Source organism: Homo sapiens, chromosome 4 (genome assembly GCF_000001405.40).
Source record: "Homo sapiens chromosome 4, GRCh38.p14 Primary Assembly".
Taxonomy (NCBI): domain Eukaryota; kingdom Metazoa; phylum Chordata; class Mammalia; order Primates; family Hominidae; genus Homo; species Homo sapiens.
This window is the reverse complement of record NC_000004.12, coordinates 176,719,525-176,745,388: the sequence shown is the minus strand read 5'-3', so window position 1 is coordinate 176,745,388 and position 25,864 is coordinate 176,719,525. Positions and strand designations below refer to the sequence as shown.

The following is a 25,864-nucleotide window of genomic DNA, read 5'->3' as shown; positions in this document are numbered from 1 at the left end:
TGTTCCCGAGATCTAATCACATGGAATGCCTGATTGTCAAATGATGAACAAATAATTCAGGAGATGGACCTGGGAGTTGAAAATTTTTTTAACAAAAAAGAAATTACATATATGCATTTTTAACAAAAGTTTTATAATCATTGATATAGTGATGGTAGCACCAGTAGATATTCAGGCAAGTAATTATCAACTGGATGACTTATAAAGGAATTGATAAAGCCTCCCAAGGGATTCAAGAAAAGGGTAAAGCTTGGAAGTCCCTAAGGATAAGTGGCTGAGATGTTTGATTCAGGACTTCCTGTCCTTGAAACCTTGGTCAGTTACTAGCACGTAGGACAGTCTCTATTGTGGACCAGTAAAAAGCTGGTTGTCTGGAGAATTCAGACAGAAAAGGTAAGGCTGGGACCCAGTTATCAAGGCTGCACTACAACTAGGGCTTGTAAAAGTTAGGGGATTTTGGAATTAGCGTAGAAATAATGTAATATGGTGTAAGTAACACAGGCTTTGTAATTAGTGCAAAAATCATAAGCATATGGGCTTGAGTCAGTCTTCTCTTTCCTACTTACTGGCTGCATACCTTTTGTCAGCTATTTAACCTCTCTCTAAGCCTCAGCTTCTTCATTTATAAAACAAATTAATATTATCTACACTGAAGTATTATAGGAGAGATGATAATGTATTTTTTAAAAACTAGCACAGACCCTGGTCAACAATAATAAACATACTAATAATTGTTACTATTATAATAAACGTGTTGATATCTTTTTCTTCATCAATGACTTTATAAAAATATTGGGATGGAGATGCCAAAATCTCCTCTGCTAAATGCCATCTTTCATCCTAAGGCTATACAGGAACAGGCCTTGCCTACTGAACTTTGTAGCTATAGGCCTACTACATTGCCTCCCACTTGAACCCTCGGTTATAAACGGAATGGAGAGTTACTTTTCCATTCAGAAAAGAACCTTGATATTTCAGAAGGAAAAGTTAGCCCTGGACACTTGAGCATTTCTAAGAAAATAGGTTTTTTTTTTCTTTTTAAATTGTGTACCTGCTGCCCTGAATTCTCTAGATGTTCTGAGCACTCTGTATATTCTTACTCATAGCTTAGTAATAAATTATGTTTATAAATTGGAGACTGGTATTGTATAATTTAGTTCATTGAAATAATTTGATCTGGTGACTTCATAGCCAGACAGAGTCAATGGATTCATATAAATGAGAATCCAGGGTTAATCACCATCAAACATTTTCAACATAAAGTGACATTTTTTTCCTTAGAATGGGATTTTTACTACATTCAAATTTTACTAATGCTGTAAACATGAAAATTTTGAGTCAGGTAATGAATTTGAGAATGGATAGCTAATCTTTAAAAATCTAGTAACAAATGTTTCTGGGAATTGTGGCTATTGTTCCCTTTTGGAATGATGACCAACATTTTTGGAAATGAAAATATTGATAAATTTGTGTGGACTTAAATATGGAGTCCACACAAGATTGGGGTCATAGGACAGAAACAATATTTGTTTCACATTTACATTGCTGAGGTATTATGAAGAGGTTAGAAAGGTGATTTTTATTTAGCTTGCAGAATAAATATTTTAAAATCACAGAATAACATATACTATTAAATGCCTACATACATTTATATCCATATGAATAAAACAGTAGAAGCTGAAATATAAAATAACATGCCACTGCTGCTGGAGAGATTTAAGCCAATTATCTGCTATCCTGGAGCATCAGACATATATATCTATATCTATCTATAATATTATATATTTCATAATTTATATATTTATATATCGGTATAATATATTGTTTTATACAGATTATATTATTATATGCTGTTTTTCACCAATGTTGTTTACATATATTATACATTATTTATATCCGGTGACTACATAATTGTGCATGGTACATCCCGTCTCTAGTCAGTTGTCATGACAAGAGTTTTAATCATTTATGCTTACTTTATGATTCTATTGTACAATTTTTATTGGACATTATTTCAGTTTTTATTAATTAACAGGGCATATCAAATACCTCCATACACACTTTATTACAGATTTTTTTGTCCCAAATATTTTTAGCATTTTTTTAAATATGAAAATAGATAGTTTGGAAACAAGCTTCTATCATCTACTATTTCTTCAGTTATTTGAATGCAGATGGCCTATCACAGGACACAAGAAGTTGAGAATGTGCTAGGAGAATTGCCAGCACTGCTCAATACAGGTGTTTGCCCAGGTCTACCTTTTGACTCTCTCACTTGATCTGTTCTTGTGCTTCTCACTTTCCTGGGCAGCCAGTCCCTTACTGAGTATTTCTGGCCTTCAGTATCTGCTTCTTCCGGTTCCTTTGATGCAGCACCCACTTGGGCTCGCTTCTGTAGTTCGCTAAACTCAGTTGCTTATCATTGTAATATTTCCGTAATATCAGAATGACTACTGTCTCAACTTAGGAGACATCCACTTGTCTTCTCCAGCACCTGACTGAGTTCTTGCCATATAAATTTTTGTTGAATAAATTCAATGTTTGGCTTTTCACATCATCATAAACAAGACTTACACCAACAATCATGGGGGAATTTGAATAAAATTAAGATTAGGTCTGACTTTTGCAATTTTACAACTTACAAGTTAGTGTTAAGAAAATGTATAAAGATGGTGATATGCCATTTTGAAACATATTAAGCATTTTCATCTTTAGAACAGCCTTCAAGAGAGTTATTATGAAACACATTTAAGCTTAAGAAAGCTGAGAATCAGAATGATAATTAATAATTATTTGAGGGTGGATGAAAAAGTAAAGAACATTTACACAGTTTTAGTGAGAATGTAAATTAGTTCAATCCTAAGGAAAACAATATGAAAATTTCTCAAAGAACTAAAAATAGAACTACAGTTTGACCCAGCAACCCCATTACTGGTATGCGGGTGGTACTATATAAGAGGAAAAGAAACATCCTGTCAAACAGACATCTGCACTCATGTTTATCGCAGCACTATTTTTAATAGCAAAGTCATGGAATCAGCCTAAGTTCCTATCAGCGGGGGACTGGATACAGAAAATGTGGTACATACACACCATGGAATACTATGCGTCCGTAAAAGGATGAAATGATGTGCTTTGCAGCAACATGGACTCTGCTGGAGGCCGTTTTCCTAAGTGAATTAACACAGAAACAGAAAATCAAATACTTCATGTTCTCACTTATACGGGAGCTAAACAGTGGTCATGTAAGCACATAAAGATGGAAACAGTAGACACTGGGGACTCCAAAATGGGGGGAAAGAGGGAGGAGAACAAGGGTTGTAGAAGCCAAATTGAAGCCTGAAACAATACACCTTTGTAACCCACCTGCACATGTGGCCCCTGAATCTAAAATAAATCAAACAAAAAATTAACAAGCAAACAAAAAACAGAGGAACTAGGGTTTGAATTAATATTTCTGATCTGCATATCGCTATTTTCCTCTTAAATTATGTGCTTAAATACATGAAGAAGGAGGAGGAGAAAAAAACAACTTAATTAGGAGACTTACTTTAATAATGTATCATTTATAACTTTTCTTCCAAAATCTGGTTACATGTCAAGAAACTGTATAATGTGAATCTCTCTAGTTCACCTTTCCTTTCCTTTATGTAGATCTTGGTTGCAATTCAGATTTTCTTTTTTCTAATGAACAGTACAATCAGTAACAGTTGCACCAAACATTTCAATTTGCAATATACATGTAATGGTTTTTCAAGTGAAGGTTACATTTTATCTTTTTTTATTATCCATAGAATAATGTGTTTTAGGATGAAAGAGACACTGTGTGTGTGTACTCCGTTTAAAATTAAGATCTGACGGTCTGAGACATCACATACAAAGCATAATTCAGTAGCTATCTGACAGTTTCCCAATTGCTATGACACTAAAAATAAACCAAACCAGATAAATCAACCCCCTAAGTGGACTCTCTGGCCTGAAATGTTCGGGTTTTAATGTGCCTGTGGAATGTTCCAATATAATTTTCATCAATGTTGATTGTCCAGCTCACACAGCCCTGGGCACTAGAGTGATTGACATAAACCCCGTCATTATTCCAACAATTAAATCAGCAGGAATTAGCACAAACATTTTTTTCCTGTTCCGTACACTAAAAATGTTTCCATGCTGCAATGTTAGGATTTAAATGTAACAAACATAATCTTCCCTGTGTTGTATAACTTTCCGATCTACTAAGAAAGCCTACCAAAATGGAGCATTTGGTTTAAAAATAAATACCTGGACTCTTCCATGTGGCAACAAACAATACATAAGAGATATTGGACAATGAACAATTAATTACATTGATAAAAATAATTGATGAATTAAGAATGTAAATCTAAAGATACTTTATATTCCTCTTTTTGGTTTAACTTTCAAATCCAGAAAGCTCTTAACCTGGTTAACTAATCGATGATAACGTTATACAACAAACTTTTGTTGAGTACTTGCTATTCATTCCTTGAACGTTATTTATTGTAATAAACGTGTTAATTGAGGTTCTACATATATAAAACTGTTTAAGGTGCAATGAAACAAAAATCACCTGAACTTCGGACAAATGTGATTTTTGTCTTTGCTTAGGACGTTTTTGGAATATTTACTTTTGAAAATGTCTCCATGACCTGTGGCAGTGTTTTCTTCTGAATAGTATAAATGACGATGGCAAATCTAAAATAAGTTATTTGGAGCCACATCTAGAAAATAATGTGAGTATTCCAGTTATTAGGGAAGGCTAGATTTGATCAAATATATATATAGTTATATGTATTCTCTCTCTATATATAGAATATATAGTTACATATGTTCTATATATAGTTATATATACTCTCTATATATAGAATATATAGTTATATATACTCTCTATATATAGAATATATAGTTATATATACTCTATATACTCTATATAGAATATATATATAACTATATATAGAATATATATAACTATATATAAATATATAGTTATATATAACTATATATAGAATATATATAACTATATATAAATATATAGTTATATATATTTATTTATAAATATAGTTATATATACTCTATATAGATATATACTCTATATAGAGAATATATAGTTATATATATTCTATATATATATTCTATATATAGTTATATATTCTATATATAGATATATATTCTATATATAGAATATATAGTTATATATAGTTATATATATTCTATATATATAACTTCTATATATAGTTATATATTCTATATATAGAATATATATATAGAATATATGTATAGAATATATAGAATATATAATATATAGTTATATATATTCTATATATCGAATAGTTATATATATTCGATATATCGAATATATAGTTATATATATTCGATATATCGAATATATAGTTATATATATTCGATATATCGAATATATAGTTATATATATTCTATAGCCATAATGCCTATTAGCCTGGCATTTAGACTTGCAAGTGTCAACTTATTACTTACCTTGTTTTATTTTATTTCTTTAATGATCTCAAAACCTTCCTCTCTCGATTTCAATCTGTGGTTTGTTCCCACCATTTGCCGAGGTCTAGCATCTTATTCTTTGATTTTCTTTTTTCTTTTCTTCAACTTTTAAGTTCAGGGGTTCATGTGCAGGATGTGTAGGTTTGTTACGTAGGTAAATGTGTGCCATGGTGGTTTGCTGCACAGATCATCCTATCACATAGGTATTAAACCCAGCATCCATTAACTATTCTTCCGATGCGTTCCCTACCCTCATACGCTCCCCCCACAACAGGCCCCAGTGTGTGTTGTTCCCTCCCATGTGTGCATGTGTTCTCATCATTCAGCTCCCACTTATAAGTGAGAACATGCAGTGTTTGCTTTTCTGCTCCTGCATTAGTTTGCTCAGGATGATGGCTTCCAGCTCCATCCATGTCCCTACAAAGGACATGATCTCGTTCCTTTTTATGGCTACATAGTTTTCCATAGTGTATATGTACCACATTCTCTTTATCCAGTCTATCATTGATGGGCAATGATTTTGTAATATAATGATTTATATTCCTTTGGGTATATACCCAGTAATGGGATTGCAGGGTCAAGTGGTATTTCTGCCTCTAGGTATTTGGGGAATCACCACACTGTCTTTCAGAATGGTTAAACTAATTAATACTCCCACAAACAGTGTAAAGGGTTCCTTTTTCTCCACAACACCACCAGCATGTGTTGTTTTTTGACTTCTTAATAATAGCCATTCTGATTGGAATAAGATGGTATCTCATTGTGGTTTTGATTTTGCATTTCTCTAATGATCAGTGATATTGAGCTTTTATTTCATATGTTTGTCAGCTGCATGTATGTCTTCTTTTGAGAGGCAGAAATACCATTCGACCCTGCAATCCCATTACTGGGTATATACCCAAAGGAATATAAATCATTATATTATAAAATCATTGCCCATCAATGATAGACTGGATAAAGAGTCTCTGTTCATGTTCTTTGCCCACTTTTTAATGGGATTTTTTTTTCTTGTAAATTTAAGTTCCTTGTAGACTCTGGATATTAGACTTTTGTCAGATGGATAGATTGCAGAAGTTTTCTCCCATTCTGTAGGTTGTCTGTTAACTCCGATGATAGTTTCTTTTGCTGTGAAGAAGCTCTTTAGTTTAATTAGATCCCATTCGTCAATCTTTGCTTTTGTTGCAATCGCTTTTGGCGTCTTCGTCATGAAATCTTTGCCTATGCCTGTGTCCTCAATGGTATTGCCTAGATTATCTTCTAGGATTTTTGTAGTTTTGAGTTTTACATTTAAATCTTTAATCCATCTTGAGTTAATTTTTGCATATGATGTAAGGAAAGGGTCAAGTTTCAATTTTCTGCATGTGGCTAGCCAGTTCTCCCAGCACCATTTATTAAATAGGGAGTCCTTTCTCTATTGTTTATTTTTGTCAGGTTTGTCAAAAGTCAGATGGTTGTAGGTGTGTGGCTTTATTCCTGGGTTCTCTGTTCTGTTCCATTGGTCTATGTGTCTCTTCTTGTACCAGTATCCTGCTGTTTTGGTTACTGTTGACTTGTAGTATAGTTTGAAATCAGGTAGTGTGATGCCTCCAGCTTTGTGCTTTTTGCTTAGGATTGTCTTGGCTATCTGGGCTCTTTTTTGATTCCATATGAATTTTTTAAAAGTTTTTCTAATGCTGTGAAGAATACCAATGGTAGTTTAATGGAAATAGCATTGAATCTATCAATTACTTTGGGCAGTATGGCCATTTTCATGATATTGATTCTTCCTATCCATGAGCATGAAATGCTTTTCCATTTGCTTGTGTCCTCTCTGAATTTTTTATCAGTGGTTTGTACTTCTCCTTGAAGAGGTCTTTCACTTCCCTTGTTAGCTGTATTAGCATCTTATTCTTTCAAGAGGACAGTTTGTTCAGTTTGTTTAAATTATTATCACCATCACAACCATTAAACCTTTATTCAGCAACTGAAGAATGTACCACAATATCTCTCATTTGCAAGACATATTCTGTTCATCTTCTGCTTTCTGCTTCTGTAGCTTATAAAGATATATAAATATATTTTAAACCCAATTTGTAATTATATATGATGGGAATTGAAAACGTGGGTGATTTTCAAATAATCACTAAGGAATAAAATATGCTAAAAATAAATTGTGAAGAATTGATATGATTTTCTAAGGATGGCTTTACTGGAGAAAAGCAGTTATCCTACAATAGTTAATATATAACTATTTTTATGATTATTCTGTTCAGAATCTGAATTTATATTATTATTTGGGGCCTTTTTTAATCAAGTGAAGAAAGGTATATTTTCTTTTCAAACTTTTTATTTTGAACATTCATAAATTACATGAACACTAAAAGACATAAATTATCTTTCAGGAAACATTGAATAAATTCTGGATTCGTCTATATTTTATTGATTTGTAAAACATCTCAAATTTAACATAGAAATGTTAAAAAGAGATTATATTATAACGTTTGTTGGAAAATATGCTATATTTATAATATTTATTCTGTATTTATATATTATAAATATATTCTATATTTATATATTATAAACATATTCTATATATATTATAAACATATTCTATATTTATTAACATTTAACATTAATGTTAATAAATATAGAATATTTTTCAACAAACTTTATAATATAATTCCCTCCTTCAATGAACTAATTTTTATGGTGGTTTACATTTCTTTTTCAATGTTGGTTTACATTTGACGTTAGGATGTTTATTAGTTAATACAATAAAGTGGGTGGTCTTTTCATTAATATTATCAGTCAGGTTTGTAAATAGTGTATGTTTTGTATAACCACTTAAAATTTATATACTGATATATATTTTGTTTAAGAATACTTAAAATAAAAACATTAGTTATCATTTGTTGAACTGGAAGGATCATTACTTAAAAATCCATCCTTAAAATTAAAATGACTTATGCTTCACTGTGTAGTGCATTGATAAATATTTAGTCTATAGTTTTTTCTATTGCTATGTGTTTAGCCAAGAATTGTTTTTAATTTGGTGAACAGTACCTTATTAGGAATATGAAAATTTTTGAAGCAGTCATGAAATATTTAACAATTAATTATTTAACAAACAATTATGCAAAATTAATTTTACTAAAGAAATATTTTTAAATCACTGCAAGAAATATTTTCATTCAAATGAGTACTTACAACCAAGAAAGAGTCTTTTATTTTTTAAATGTGTATAAATTTAAACTTCAAAATACTTAAATCACTTAATGCCTCAGAGAAAATATCTTAATACTTATGAAGTGTTACGTGTACTAAGCATTATGTTAAATTCTATAAAGACATCTTTTTAAATCATCACAAGAAATTACAAGGCAGGTGCATCTATTATATTTTTTATAGTAGAACTAATTGAGGCACAGTGAGAGGAAATGATGTACTCAAGTTCCACAGGTGATAAGTGGTACAGCTGAGTAAAATTCCAAGTCTAAAAGCTAGTCTCTTAACTATTATATATCGGCCTATATGCATAGGCCGACAAGTAGTTATTTAAAGTTATATAAATCAAGAGAAAACACTACAAAATTTACCTATAGGATATTTATACAAAATATGGGCATTTTATTAGGAAAGCTTTCTAGAAATATGGGGGAACTTTAAGAAACAGTGAAATTCAAAGCTATCATTGTCCAAAAGCATGTGGTCTTCTGTTTTTGCACTAGTGACTTAGGTGCAAATTACTTCCAAGATTTTTCTCCTAATTGAGAAGTACTTTTTAGGTCTAGATTCCATGGAGGAGGTGGGTCTTCGAGGTGGGGCTTCAAGGTGGAGATAGTGTCTTTTTTCTAGCATGTAATGAGGTAAATTTGCTTTTGAATGAACAGGTGCACCTATTTCAATTAAGGCAAATTAGTTTCCAAAGGCTTTGCTATTTAAGATATTATAGAAGGCTATTTAAATGTGCCAATTTACATAAAATACATTTTGAAAGATTACAGGAAACAATTTTATATAATTCACTGAAACAATTTCACAGTCCTCTCAAATGATGATTTTGAAAATGACCTAAATGGCAGGCACCTCTTTGAAGCAGCTGGCATGATGTTATGTGGTCCCATGGCCCCTTACATTTTCAGGTCAATGGTAAATTCTCCAGAGTCCAACTTCAACCCTGCAGTATTCTGTTCAAAATTGCCCCTGTTCAGAAGCCTGCATATGTAACCTCTTACATTTTGTGTTTCACAATTTCCATTGAACTCTTCCTACACACCAGAATGGGCAAAAATAGGAATTTAATTTCTGGGAAGATTTCCTCTAAGAGCCTCTGTCCAAAACATCCAGTGCTGAAACAAGAAAAGGTGGTCCTGGCATATATCCACTAGTAATTTTTTTGTCTTCTTCTTTTCTTTCCTGTTTTATGTGTGAATAGTGAAACTTATCGGTTCAAAGACCGATGAGTCAGAATGCTGTCATTTTACATCCAAACAGTGGAAATTTAAATTGTTAAAATAAAAATACACAATCACTAACATTACCCTGATGAAATAATGATAAGCAAAGTAGTCTTAAATTACAGGCTATAAGTGCTGGATAAAGAACAATATTTTAAAAATATCTAAAGTCATATAATGAACAGAAGACAGATTTCCATTTATACCTGAAAGACTGGTTTTCAGAAATTATAATAGAACATGGGGATTTAAAAATTGTATTTGGATCATTTATTTTACAGTTAGAAAGTGATGTAGGAAGGAGTTCCCAGAGGAGATGAAACAGATTGAAAACAGCAAAATTCCATGACAGAGGTGGCTTGAAATAGACCCTTTTTTCAAAGCAATAACTGGCCTCTTCATCATCTATAGATAGCATTTTTGGCAAAATCAGAAACATTTGCTTTGCCAGTCATTGAAGGTAAAAAGAAAAAAAAAATGGCTGAATGCTTTTAAATTACATTTATTTAATTTCTGCTTTCATACAAAGGCATAAAATTATCAGTTTAAATTTTAAAAAATATTATTATAAAATTACATGCTTAGAAGTCTGTTGATTGTTTTCCCACAGCCATTTTATAACTGAAACCCTCAATTTTGGATATGAATGTATAATAAACGCACATGTTCATTCTAAACATTTTCTTTTCAAATACTTTTACATTCCTTTAGGTTTCCTAAAGAAATGTAAATTCCTTCTGCCACTTAGTTTTTGCTATTTTTAGCAGTTTCTTAAAGTCTGCAAATTCCTTTCACTCAGTTTTTGCACTTAGTTCATAATGACTTCACATTTGACATTGATTGTCCACAAAAGGGGTTATTTTTAGTTTCAAAAGGTGAACGTTATTTGTTTTAGAAATTCTCGCGTATATTTCTTAGTCTAAAGATAGGTTTTCTAACATAAAAATGTGATAGTGTAGTCTGTTTGCTGAGCACTTGTAGTGGAACAAACTCAGTGCTAAATTCTTGGTTTTTAATAACTAATTTATTTATTACAGTAACTGCTAAATATGCTTCAAATTATAAACTATTTGCCAAAATTACAGATAATAATATAACCAAACACCATGTGGATTTCACCTAAACTAGAAGTAACTTGGTGACTTTCTTATTTAATCTTTTATTTATTGTACTTGGCCATACTTATTGTATGTTTATGTATAAAAACATAAAGCAATAGAAGTTTTTACAGTTATTATACTCACTGTCTTATAAATGGAGAAACTGAGACCCAGAGAATTTTAGTAACTTATTCAAAGTTACCTAGCTGGTGACTAGAAGCAAAACACAAATAAGACCACAGATTACTAGTTTTGTCAAGATCTTCAACATAATTTAATATTGCTGTCAACTCAGAGGTCTCAGAAGATAAGGTCTTACCATCTGAAAACAACAAAAAAGAAATTTCATAAAATCCTGTTTGTACCAAGCAATTTATTTCTAGAATGAAAGCAAAATTATTTTTTTAAAGTTCTTTAGATTGCTGAGAAATCAAGAGCATTAGGGTTGTGTCTCCCCTTTAAATTTACCTTTTAGTTTCTTTGGGTTTAAGTTTTTAGATGAAATTTTAAATTCTATTTAGCTCTCAGTTTATGTGTATTTAAAATTTAGATTTAGGATCTATTCTTTTTAATAAGGGTGAAATTACATATGGAGAAATTTACTGTTTATAGCGAGTTTTGACAACTAGAGTTGTATAACCACCATCCCCACAGTCAAGATACATCACTTCTCCCCTTCCCAAACATATTCCCTGGTGACACTTTGTGGTCATACTCATTCTCCGCCTCTAGCCTTTTACAATGACTTCTGTTACTCCCCCTGTAGATTTGCCTATTAAAGAATGTTATATAAAGGAATCACACATCATGTAGCATTTTGAATCTGGCTTGCTTTACTTGTTTTAATGCATTTGAGATTTGTTCCTATTGTGGCAGATATCAGTAGTAGTCTTCTTTTCATTGTTGGATATTCCATTACATGAATGTACAATCACATTTTATCCATTTGCCCAGCTAAAGAACATTTGGGTGTTTTCAGTTTTCATTATTATGAGTAAACCCTCCATAAACATATTGCATACAAATTTTTATGTGAACATAAGTTTTTGTTTCACCTAAACAGATACTATACAGGACTGAAATTTTAGTAAGTATATGTTTAACTTTGTGAGAAACTGCCCAACTGTTTTTGCAAAGTGGCTGTACAGATTTACATTTTCAACAGCAACATGTGAGAGTTCCAGTTGCTGCACGTCCTTGTGAGCACTTAGGGTTGTATTTTTAATTTTATCCACTCTAATGGGTGTGGAGTGGTGTCTTATTAAGGTTTTAATAAGCATTTCTCTAATTTAATGCATTATATTACTTCTTTTTGTTGGTTTGTAAACTGCTTATCTTCTTTGGTGAGTTTGATCAAATCATTTGTCCATGTTTGTGTTTTTGATTATATTTCAGATACAAGTCTTTACCAGTTATGTGCTTTGTAAATGTTTTCTCACTGTTTATCATTTGTGTGTTTTATGGAAAGCAGAATATTTCGATTTTCTGGAAATATAATTTGTCACTTTAAAAATTATGTAAATTGCTATTGGTATTAAGTGTAAGAAAACTTTGCTTCATCTATGATCACAAATATTTTCTTCTGAAAAAAAAGCTCTCTGAAGAGTTTTTTTTTTTCAATGAATGTGTTTTCTTTCTTCTCTCCATATGTTATCTTCTGAATAGCTAAGCAATGTTTACATTATTTATTCAGGCCTTTCCATCCACTTTCACGGATTCCACTGAAGGAGAAATTGGGTTTGAAATCCTCTTTTCTCAAAAACTAATGAGTCATGCATCTTCTCATTGATATTATCTGGCTCCCCTGAAAACCTCTAGTTTGGTCCATTTTTAGTGATATCTTTCTACTCAGGTTCCTCAAACCAATCTGTACCTAAGAGACCCCCAGATTAAAATTCAAGTTCATTCTTTTAACAAATTAGGTGCTAATTGCTACAAATGCAAGAAAACTTCAGGTGCTAATTTGTTAAAAGAATGAACTTGAACTTTAGTCTGGGGGTCTCTTAGATATAGATTGAAAAGGATTGAAAAGAATTATAGTTTCTTTCACTTTTGCCATCATACAATATGTATTATTTATATTTCTTCTTCGTTAATATTCAGTTCACCTTCTTTGTCCATCTTTCTATTGAAGCACCAGTATTCATGCAGTGTTTTAAGAATATTAGTCCATTTTTATCCATTATGTATATTGCAAATAATTTCGTACTTTATTGTCTTTTAATTTGTTTGCAGTGTTTTCTGCCATACAAAAATTTTCATTTTATTTTATATTCACTTTAAAAAGGCCTTTTTCAGCCTAAGAGTATAAATATAATAGCTTTTCTACTTTTTTCATTTTTTAATATTGCATTTTCTCTATTGTGAATGTTATGCTTATGTTTTTCTCCAGCTGATCTATTGAGGAACAGTGTTTTTTTAATAAATATAAATATTGTTATAGTTATTTCTCATTTCGAAGTTTTACGGTACTAATTTGTCTGTCTTAAAACTTCAAATAATACTTAATTGAAAGTCTCTGTCTACCATCATCCCTTTCTTAACAGTTCGGTGAATATCTTTTATTATATTGTGTAAGGATGTTGTATTGCAGCTCCTCTTGCTAGGCTGAACATGCAGACCTGTTCTGGAAATAGATGTGATCAGTTTAGGTCACAACCTGTCTTGAATCACAGCTGACTTGTAGTGGAGAGTTCCAGGAACCTTCCAATCACACACAGGTCCCTATTGCTCCTTTTCTTCTAGGGCTATTCAACAAGCAGAGACAAACAAAAACTGATCTGTCACATTTTACTGCAGGTAACAGTGACCACAAATACACCTGTACACTGTTTTTTTTCCAACATTATTGAGGTGTGACTGACAAATAAAAATGGTATATATTTAAGGTATGTGATGCGATGTTTTGCTGTACATGTACATTGTGAAATGATTATCATAATCATGTTAACATATCCATCACCTCACATATTGTTATTTTTATAATCACTTTTATAAATTTTCCCTTCAGTAGTAACCTTTTGAGATTCTGAAACACTTTTGAGTTTTGAATGTTGTGTCATAAGTGAGTTTTTTTGGCAAATATTTTATAAACATCTAATTGGGAAACTGTGAGAGGATGTTTTGTAACTTTCATTTAAACTAAGATCTCCTCTCCACCTCCACCCTTCCCATATTCAGTAGATTTTCTATGGCTGTATGGTGTATCAGGAATCATCCCATATACTTCAGAAAGTAATGGAATAATATAAATATTTTTCTAACATAGACCTACAGAGATTAAGTGATATACTCAAATCATACCATAAATGGTAGTGAAAGGGTAAACTCAACATTCACAGCCAACTTCATTATCTAATAGGGAACAACACATTTCATATTAATAATTGACTTTTATTTTTAGGAGGCTCTGTTATAATGAAATTAAAAAATGAGATTAGATTATGTTTCTCAATATATGGTACAAAAATCACTTACATAGAATAACTTCGATTATTAAAAATAGAAGTGAAAAATACTTTTCAGATTAAATAAGATTTCAATTTTAAGGCAAATATGTTCATTTTGTGCTCAAAAATTAGACAGGAAAACTATAATCTGTTAAAATGTAGGTTCTTGATCCACCCAAGAAACCATGGAGAGGTGGGGGACAGTTACCTGCATTTCTGACAGTTAGTTCATTGACTCTTATTCGACTAAACTTTGAGAACCAGTGTCCAAAGTATTTACTTACATATTTATATTTAAAAGCTGGGATAATCATGACAATATAAAATAAACAATTGATGTTGTATTTTACTTGGCAGATAGATAAAGCTATACAAGTTTCCTTTTTCCTAATTCTAAAGCATAATTAGAAAAAAATTGTATTTATTTCTTAGATATGGTAACTACTAAAATATAATTTGGAATGTTCTACTTAAATGAGTATACTTATGTATGCAGTTAGCCGTCAATAAGATTTAGTGTTCTCTGAACTATTTCATTTCTATGAAGGTGGTATTAATCTTGATGATAAAATTTTCTTTTAAATATTGAGAGATTCTGCCAAAATATAAATCTTACTGTGACAATGTTGTTGAAATTCCTTTCTTCATATGATTATTTGTTCTAAAATAGCTCCCATGAAAGTAAAATTCCTACTCTCAAGCATCCTGCTTAAGCATATTGTATTGTTGCTGGTAACTAAAAATAAAGCAAAGCATTAGGGTGGATTTCAGTGTAATTTTATCTGTTTAGTAGAGTGATACAAATGAATAAATTTTCAAACATACAAATTGACCAATTATTTGAAAGAGCTATGAATAAAATAAATAAGCTACCTTAAAATTATTTTAAAATTATATCACAAAATTTTTTTCCTAACAACAAAATATGTATTTTTAATTGTTTTGGTTCATACAAATTAAAATACAAATATAATTTTACCAAGGAAAGTGAAGTAATTTAGGAGTAATTAATAATATTTGTGTTAGGGAACGGAGCATAGATACTATTAAACCTAACCGTTTTATAGTGCATTTGTTTCTAAATCCCTTAAGCTGGTAAGTCATTGATCTTGCATTTTTCTTTGACAGGCTTATGCAAGCAAAGATCTGGAGGAGCAGTTACGGTCTGTGTCCAGTGTAGATGAACTCATGACTGTACTCTACCCAGAATATTGGAAAATGTACAAGTGTCAGCTAAGGAAAGGAGGCTGGCAACATAACAGAGAACAGGCCAACCTCAACTCAAGGACAGAAGAGACTATAAAATTTGCTGCAGCACATTATAATACAGAGATCTTGAAAAGTAAGTATGGGAAATAAAATGTATAGTAAGCCTTATATATCAAACCAGTAGAAGTTGCCAGCCTGGTTCTTTAATTTCAGTGTTTGTATCACCGAATACACCTTTAGGGCGGAAAGCAAATAGAAAATAAAGAATTACTTCAAAATACAACATTTTATGATTTCACTTTGAGTATTAAGATGACTTCATAAAATACAGGATAGATAGGTCCATGCATAAACAACACACATTTATTTTTTCAGGTGATAGCCATTGGAAAATTTTTAAAACAGATGGCTATATTTTACATACTATATCTGTTTAATAACTTAAACATTCTTTATCTTATCAAATAATTATACCTTAATTTCCTATCTGATTTGGATTGAGAAATGCTTCATTTGAAATCACCTTTTCAGATGTCACTTGTTGCTTTGCTGCTTCACAGATAACTGGCTCAGAGCGGGACTTAAGCTGATGAGGTATCTAGCATAAAGCTTCACAAAAAATGATCATGTTGCATAAAATGTCATAGCATCAATTGGTGGGGTATGACTGGGCACAGAGGTTCATGTCTGTAATCCGAGACCATTGGGAGGCCAAAGTGGGAGGATTGCTTGAAGCCAGAGTCAGAGACCAGCCTGAACAACACAGCAAGACCTCATCTCTATTAAAAAAAATTAAAAAGTGGTGGAGTAATTTAAAAACATATTTGCCTTCAGTTGGTAGCTCTTAATCGCTATAAAAGTTTGATATTGGAAAGTATTTTGAGAACAGAGGCAAACAAAATGGCTTCATGGTTGTATAACCAATAGTTTATGTCCTTTTCCAAAAATTCTATTTTAGGGGAAATATGGGATAAGTAAACTAGTATACTTAGGAAGTACATTATTTGTAATGCAGAATTTAAAAAGTCAACAGTATTATAGGTAAGCTACTAACTCATCAGAAACAAAATTCCAGAGGAGAGTTAAAAGGGATAGGAAATATTGACTTTGCTGAAGAAAGTTCAGAATGAGTCCCAGTTGGTGAAAAATAGCCTTGTATTTTATGTAGCTGCAGCCACGACATTACTCAAGGTTGCCAAATAGTCCGCCTGAAAAGGACGTTTGACTTGAATCTAAAACCATAGCTGTCTTCTCATATGCAACTCAGTTTTAAAGAAAAATAAAATTATATTTATATTTGCATTGAGAGCACAAAAATGGCCCATACTATAGAGAATGAACATGACTCTCTCTGCACATCTTATAAACATTCATATATTAAATTACCATTTTCCTAAGAAAGAAAAACCAAACATTAGTGTTGTGGGATATTGGTGTACTTTTAATAAAGCATAATGCTAATTTTTCTTATTGCCTAGCTATAGAAATGAGTTTAAGAAATATCCTTAGCTTGTCTTTTCAATGTTATATCATTCTCATTCACAAGTCAATTTAGGATCCCATCAGCTGTCTCTTTAGTTATATATTGAACTTAAATGTTAAAATCTGAAATGAATGTGAGTGATTTGCAGCTGCTGTGGGCTTTTTTTATCTTGGTGGTTTCCGTAAAACTTACTGATTTCCCTATGACTTGACAGGTATTGATAATGAGTGGAGAAAGACTCAATGCATGCCACGGGAGGTGTGTATAGATGTGGGGAAGGAGTTTGGAGTCGCGACAAACACCTTCTTTAAACCTCCATGTGTGTCCGTCTACAGATGTGGGGGTTGCTGCAATAGTGAGGGGCTGCAGTGCATGAACACCAGCACGAGCTACCTCAGCAAGACGGTGGGTATTGCCCATTCCTGCTACCTGCGAGAGCCCCCTTAATCAGAAGCTTTAACTTTGGGGATGATGTGTTTAAACTTCTGGTTGCTTTAAACTAACTTGGTTCAACTCAGGGTCTCATATTTTCTTTAGGGGAATGAAGTCAGTTTTTCAGTGTTTTGTGTGTTTGACAACACAGTGTCACAAAGAAAGTAATTGATGCTTTATTACTTTGCAAACTCTTCATATAGTGGAGTCAAAGCCTCATGCAGAAAACAATAAATATACGTATGTATGTGTGTACATGTACGTGTGTATGTGTGTGTGTTGATCTTCAAGAATAAACATGTTCATTTGGCAATAAAATACTTTTAAATGGGTGAGTTTTCAGATGGTGGAGATAACAGTGCAAACAGTATTCAAAGTGTAAAATTAAATGCGTGTGTTCTGTGAAACAGTGGTATAGTATTGAAATAAGCCATCTCACTGAAGAAATTTATTGTCTTCCTGTCGAAAGCAAAGGAAATAACTCTGACACTAAATCTCAGATGTTTTGAATAAACTGGGAAGTTTATCTCATTAAATGGTAAGCTTCTGATAACCAGGAAATGTCTCTTAAGGTTGGCTTTGGATCAGGGATTTTCAGACCAGACACATAAACCCGCTTTGTGGGCCTTACGTGGTAGAGGAGGCTGGCTGTGGAACACGCGTATGTGCTGGCGATAACCATGAAAGTGTTGTTTGAAATTGTGTGCACCTCTGGCCTCTGAACAGAAATGTTTGGAGAAATCCAGTCCCGTGGGCTGGACTGAAGCAAACTTCTCCCGAAAGACAAAACTGTGGTTGTCCTAATGACCTTTCTAAGCTATTTTTGGAGTTAGACTCACACACGTAAATCTGGCTAAATTCAGAACTGTTCTTTGACCTGGAGAATGAAAAATGAAATTGAAAGATGTGGTGTTAGATTTGATTTGTATGATGTGGTATGACAGAAAATTCACATTTTAATTTTATGCAAACTTTAGCTGATCTACATGGTTTTCAGTAATAAAACCTACTCTTATTTCAATATAGTATTAATAGAAATCAGAGTTAAGATTACTATCTCAATTCCATGAACTACATTTTTTCAGCTAGCTGAATATTTCCAAAATTTTTACTGTTACGATCATTTGGCCTCTGAGTTTGGAGACATTGTCTTATTATACAACCCAAATTAATTGCTTTCTTTTCAAAAATTGAGTTTCTTTATATTGCTCACCCACTTGATAAAGAAACAAGCCATTTTAGATTAAGACTTGCAAGAAGAAACAAAAAATAAATTATAAAGCTAAATTTTCTATTCAGCTTGCCTCTGCCTCAACTCTAAAGGTTAAAAAAAATTAAAAGGTGATGCTTTGGGGCCTGCTATCATTTCTTTTAGTATCATAGTTAGTTAAGCTTAGCCAGATGCAATTCATTCTGATTATTTCCTAAAAGCACAGCAAAATAATGTAGGGGTCGTTCCAACATGTGTTCTCAAGGAATACAATGTGACTCTAAACATAGTCCTGCATTTAGAAACTTTACCAGAAAAATGTACAGTTGTAGGAACATGACAATATTTCAGTGGTTGCCAAAATTATAATATTTTTGATAGACTAACATATAATTATACTATTGGACATAGCAAAAGTTATCCTTAGTTCATTTATCCTCCCTGAGTCTTTATCAAACAACAATAAACAATAAGACGTTATAGTTTTGTACTTACTATTCTAAATAAATTAATACTACTTTAACAGGTTTTATTGGTATTATGTATTTTATCATAACCCTGAAATCAAACAGGATTCTTTAAGATCCTCTAAATTTTAGAACTGCATACTTTAAAATAAATTAAATAGAAATACTTAGGCCAAGCAGATATTCTTTGAAAGGTAATATTCATTTTTAAAACATATTAATAATTAAAATGTTGTTTTTATCTTCAAGCCAAACCTCTTAATGGGAATTTTGGTATACTGAGTCTCTTGAGAAATATGTCATTTCCTTTTAAAGTTAGAGAAAATAAATATGGATGATTTAGGAATTGAAATATACAATTTTTGGAATGCCGTTAATGATTTATATTTTAAAATAATTCAGTTAAGCAATATGATGTATTCTAGATTATATTCCTAATATGGTATTTGATTTAAATCAAATAGTAAACCAAGGTACTTTGGATACTGTTTCCAACTAATAAGATAACCTTCTCTCTGCTCTTCCTCCTTCCATTTCCTTTCTTCATAATCTTTTCTATAAATTACTTTCAAGCATATTTTTTAAAAACATAGATCCAAATCTATGGCTAGGCATGGTGGCTCACGCCTGTGGTCTCAGCTGCTGAGGAGGCAGAGGCAGGAGGATCGCTGGAGCCCAGGAGTTCAGGGCTGCAGTGTGCTAGGATTGCACCACTGCACTCCCAGCCTAGGTGACAGAGCATGACCCTGTTTCAAAAACAAAAAAACCCCACAGAGCTGATGTCAGTCTCCAGCATAAAGGCCTTTCAGTGATTTCCCATTGCTTGTAAAATAAGACAAAAATCTTTTTTGAAGGTTATATTTATTGACATATCATAGCTGTACATATTTTGGGGTCATGTGTTATATGTTGATACCTGTACAAAATGTGTAATGATCAAATCAGGGTAATTGGGATATCCATCATCTCAAACATTTATCTTTTCTTTCTATTGGGAACAATACAGTACTTCTCTTGCAGCTTTTTAAAAAATATACAATATATCGTTATTCACTCCAATTTCCCTGATGTACTATTGAACACTAAAACTTACTCCTTCTATTTAACTGTGCTTTTGTACCCCTCAACCATCCTCTCTCCATCCTCCCTACCCTTGCCCCTCCCAGCCTCTGATAATCAGTATTCTTCTCTCTACTTCCATGAGATCCACTCGTTTAGCTCCCACATAAATGAGAACATGCAGGATTTTCAAGACCACATCTTTATCACAACCTGCAATCTCTGCCCCATAGCCCCTGTTCAGCATCATCTAATGTAATGATTCTTGATCTTGTGCTTCCAGTGCTCTAGACTTTCTCCAATTCCTGGGCATCATCGTGTTTCCTCTGCTCCTGGGCCCTTGCACACACACCTTTAGGTTAACCTGGCCTTCCTGTCTCCTCTTTCCTGAGGTGCTAGCTCTTCAGATCTTAATTTGGGTGTCAAGTGGCTTTGGCAAGGCCTCAGGCAAGACTTTCTGACCTATTTGGATTAGACCCAATATTTGTAGTAAATGCTTTATAGTTTCCCATATTTTTAAAATAGTATTTATTACAGCCTATAATCACATAGTTTATAGTTATGTAGTCATTGTTACTTGATTAATGTCTCCCTCCTCCACAAAGGCAAAAACAGATCCGTTCACTACTTATCCCAGTGCCTACCACAGAATCAGTGCACAAATCTCTTTTAGTATCACATAAAAACTGTGGACCCTTTCATGAGAACAAATGAAAATATAGACACATCCACAGCATTTCCCCCCACAGTTTTAGGGAGTTTGTTCCCTGACCCCTAGCCTTTTCCCTTTAAACCAGGCTTTAAAACTGCTGCCTTGAAGATTATTAATAATAAAATAGCTGATTAACACACTTGTGGAATTTTCAAATAATTGGTCTTTTTGCTAAACAAACGTTTATGCTATCAATTTAGCTTGATCTTTTAAAAAATATCTGTTTCTGGAGAGGAACAGAAAAGGTAACTATTGGGTACTGGGCTTAATTCCTGGGTGATGAAATAATCTGTGCAACAACCCCCATGACATGAGTTTACCTATGTCACAAACCTGCACATGCACCCCCAAACCTAAAATAAAAGTTTACCTATTTAACAAACCTGCACATGGACCCCCAAACCTAAAATAAAAGTTTACCTATGTAACAAACCTGCACATGGACCCCCAAACCTAAAATAAAACCCCAAACCTAAAATAAAAGTTTATGTCACAAACCTGCACATGCACCCCCAAACCTAAAATAAAACCCCAAACCTAAAATAAAAGTTTACCTATGTCACAAACCTGCACATGCACCCCCAAACCTAAAATAAAAGTTTACCTGTGTCGCAAATCTGCATATGCACCGCGAAACCTAAAATAAAAGTTTACCTATGTCACAAATCTGCACATGGACCCCCAAACCTAAAATAAAAGTTTACCTATGTCACAAACCTGCACATGGACCCCCAAACCTAAAATAAAACCCCAAACTTAAAATAAAAGTTTACCTATGTCACAAACCTGCACATGGACCCACAAACCTGCACATGGACCCCCAAACCTAAAATAAAACCCCAAACCTAAAATAAAAGTTTACCTATGTCACAAACCTGCACATGCACCCCCAAACCTAAAATAAAAGTTTACGTATGTAACAAACCTGCACATGGACCCCCAAACCTAAATATAAACTTTATATATGTATGTATATATATACATATGTATATACAGATATACATATATGTATCTGTAAAAGAAACATATCTATCTATATCTATATCTAGATATCCAGATGACTAGATGAGATATAGATATCTGTTTCTCTTACAGATAAGGAAGAAAATTCTTCTTTATTCTCTCATTCATTAGTTAATATGAGCAAAAGCCAACATTATATCTTTCTTACTATTGGTCAACCAAATAAATGCATACTTTACATATGGGCCAAATAGATACCTAAGCATACCTTAGGTAAAATCTAAACTTGGAAAACAGAAAATCAGTACATTGTTAGTAAGCAAAGTAAATAAATTTAGTCTTCTATTAACCATTTGAGTTTTTTCTGTGACCATTGCATATTCATTTTCTGCATTGGTCTAATTAGGTGTCACATTCACCCAGTGGGTATTGGAGTGAAAGTATTTATTCAAGGGTAGGTGTGTATGCTCAGTAGCATAAAAATTGCTCTATCAAGAGGGAGGTGTTGGAGAGGTTTAGGCTTTAGAAATTGCAAGGCTTCGCTGGGCACTGTGGCTTACACCTGTAATCCCAGCACTTTGGGATGCCAAGACAGGCAGATCTCTTGAGCTTAGGAATTGGAGACCAGCCTGGGCAACATAGTGAAACCCTGTCTCCCCAAAAAAGTATAAAAATTAGCCAGGCATGGTGTTGTGCACCTGTGGTCCCAGCTACGCGGGAGGTAGCTGAGGTGGGAGGATTGCTGGATCCTGGAAGGCAGAGGCTGCAGTGAGTAAAGATCGCAGCACTGCACTCCAGCCTGGGTGACAGAGCCAGACCCTGCCTCAAAAAAAAAAAAAACAAAAAAAAAACAAAAGAAAAAAATTACAAGGGGCCAGGGGTAAGATGAGCATTTAGTGCTAAGTGTAAGCTGCATATAGGTGAAATAATTTTGCCCAGTCTACTTAGTACTTAAACATCAGATATTTGCTATAAGAAAATTGTCTACTTTAGATCACATGGAATCTTTTCTTGCTGTATTTCATCTCTTTCACCTCCCAGCTTTGCAGAATTTAGGCTTACTTTTATAATAGATTTACAATGTTGATATGAGTTTTGTCAACTTCTTCCCAATCATTTGCTTGTGTGAAAAATCAGGACTTGCCCATGAAATTTCTGAAGTTTGTCTGCTTTTTTGTTATTGGTTGATTTTTTTTTCAGTTTTTTTTCTATCCTATTGGTGGGCTATATATTTACAATAATCACAATATTTATACATTCTGATCTGTAATGCAGTCATATTTTAAAATTTATATAGCATTAGTTTTTATTTTGTCATTTTAATTTTTTAAAGATTTGAAGATTTTGAGAATTAAAAATTTGTAGTTCATCAAAAATATGGTATTTCTCCTGAGAATTCTGACCTAAGACACCTTCTCTGCAGACTGTAACTCTCCTTGTATTTTCTCATCTACTTTTTTTTACTTTTCCCAAACCTTTCCCTCCAATTCAGGCTTCTTTCCTGATTTCTATACTGTCCACTCAACCTTGTGACTTGGCTGTCCCTCAGACAGGTCAGTCTGTCTCACTTAACAGTTAGAACCTATTCCCTACCACCTTGCCCAAATAAGCAAGTAAGTGAATCCTATTCTTTTTCCAGTGTTCTGTGTCTTAGTAAATGACATCATCATTCAGCCAGTCGGTCAAGCCAAGTTATTCTTCCTTTCACCAAAACTAATTGCTATTCAATCTACCTTGCAAACATCTCTAGGACCTATCCAGTGTCTCCACGCTGCTAATCCCGCTCTGATCTAGGTCACATTTACCCCTTACCTAGACCATTCCTCTTGGACAAGCCTAATAACTGGTCTCCTACCTCCATTCTTCCTTTCCTCCAATCTATTTGCCACTTTTTAGCAGTGATTTTTTTTTCTTTTCTTAATGCTAAGTCAGATACTGCTAAAAACTCCTTGATAACATTGCCTTATTGGGATGGAGCCAGCATTCAACTAGTGTGGTGATAAGCTTATCTTTTCTAATTGGGTTGCTTAGGCCAGCATCTGGTCAGATTGATTGGTACAAATGTTCTAAGTTGTTAGTGTTTTGAATGGAACTCTTCTTTCAGACAAAATCCCTTAAACATAATTTCCTGGGCCCTCAATGATCTGGATGCTACCTAAGTGTCCAGCCTCAAATGTCAATGCTTTTCCCCACAAACACTACTTACCACTAAGACCCAAATTCTTTTCACTTCTTGGGTTATGTCAATATCTGTCACCTCCAGTATTGCAATGCTGTACTCTGTGTTTGAAACATCTCCCTACACATGATCCCGTATCTCGATGTATCTAGTTAATGTCTACTCATCCTTAGGCCTAAACATAAATGTGACTTCCAGGACATTCTGTTATGTGCTTCCACAGCATCCATTGTTGCTGTATCTTAGCATCATTACCTTATCTGTCAGATTGTTTTATCTTTGTTTAATTCCCTAGGTTTTTTTTTTTTTTTTTTTTTTAGATGGAGTCTCACTCTTGTTGCCCAGGTGGGGGAGTGCAGTGGCAGGAACTCAGCTCACTGTGACCTCTGCCTCCTGGGTTCAAGTGATTATCTTGCCTCAGCCTCCCAAGTAGCTGGGATTGCAGGTGTGCACCACCACACCTGGCTAATTTTTTGTATTTGTAGTAGAGATGGGGTTTCACCATGTTAGCCAGGCTGGTCTAGAAACTCCTGACCTCAGGTGATCCTCCCACCTCTGCCTCCCAAAGTGCTGGGATTACAGGTGTGAGCCACTGCACCCAGTCTTATTCCATAGGTTCTAGACTCCATGAAAACAAAGATTGCGTCTGCTTGTTACACTGAACAATAGCACAGTAGTTGGCACATAGCAAACACTTAGAAGTGAATAAAATGAATATTTGAATAAAAAGAAACAAATTTGGGGTCAAAGGTCAAATTTTGAATATGCTGATTTGAAAGAGTCTGAATGGTGTTTAGGTGGAGATACCAGAAGGTTTGATGTACAATTCTAAAATTTTAGAACAATAACTGGGTCTTTAAATATAGATTTGGGAGGAAGCATCATTCTGATAAATGTCATTTGAAGCCTGGTGTGCTTATTAATTCTTAGGGTATTGATGTATCACAAGAGAAGAGCAAACATCAGTACCAAGGGAAAGCCAACATTCATCATTAGCTGTGCCCTGCATTTCCCTCTTTGATTTTGTATTATCATGCCCTTTTCCTATCCAAAGGATTCGCTTATATTTTTGTTTATAGTATAAGGAATTTTTTTTTTTTTGAAACGGAGTCTCACTCTTGTCACCCAGGCTGGAGTGCAATGGTGTGATCTTGGCTCACTGCAACCTCCACCTCCTGGGTTCAAGCGATTCTCCTGCCTCAGCCTCCCGAGTAGCTGGGATTACAGGTGTCCACCACCACGCCCAGCTGATTTTGTATTTTAATAGAGATAGGTTTTCACCACGTTGGCCAGGCTGGTCTCGAACTCCTGACTTCAAGTGATCCACTCGCCTCGGCCACCCAATGTGCTGGGATTACAGGCATGAGCCACCGCACCCGGCAGATAGTTTTAATTTAAATTCAGTTAGACAAGTGCATGTGGTACACCCATTATGTGACGCTTCATATTATGTACTAAAAGCATGCTATGCACAAAGTGTAGGTGTACAGTGATGGATAGATCCTGCCCTATGGAACTAACAAATTAGCAAGCGAAATCAACATTTATCAAGTAATTAAAAGTAGTTTAAGTGTTGTGAAGGAAAAGTACAAAGGCTTATGGAAGTGCATATCCAGGATGTTTATAAACCAAGGGA

The 25,864-nt window shown here is 33.5% G+C and overlaps 1 protein-coding gene across 1 annotated transcript in view; it reads left to right on the top strand.

Annotated features, from left to right (window-relative positions):
• Positions 1 to 25,864, top strand: part of VEGFC (vascular endothelial growth factor C) — a 109,385-nt gene that overhangs the window by 47,534 nt on the left and 35,987 nt on the right. The window contains exons 2-3 of the mRNA NM_005429.5: positions 15,643 to 15,856; positions 17,421 to 17,611. Of these exons, the coding sequence (NP_005420.1) occupies positions 15,643 to 15,856; positions 17,421 to 17,611 (405 nt within the window). The remainder of the gene's footprint in view (positions 1 to 15,642; positions 15,857 to 17,420; positions 17,612 to 25,864) is intronic.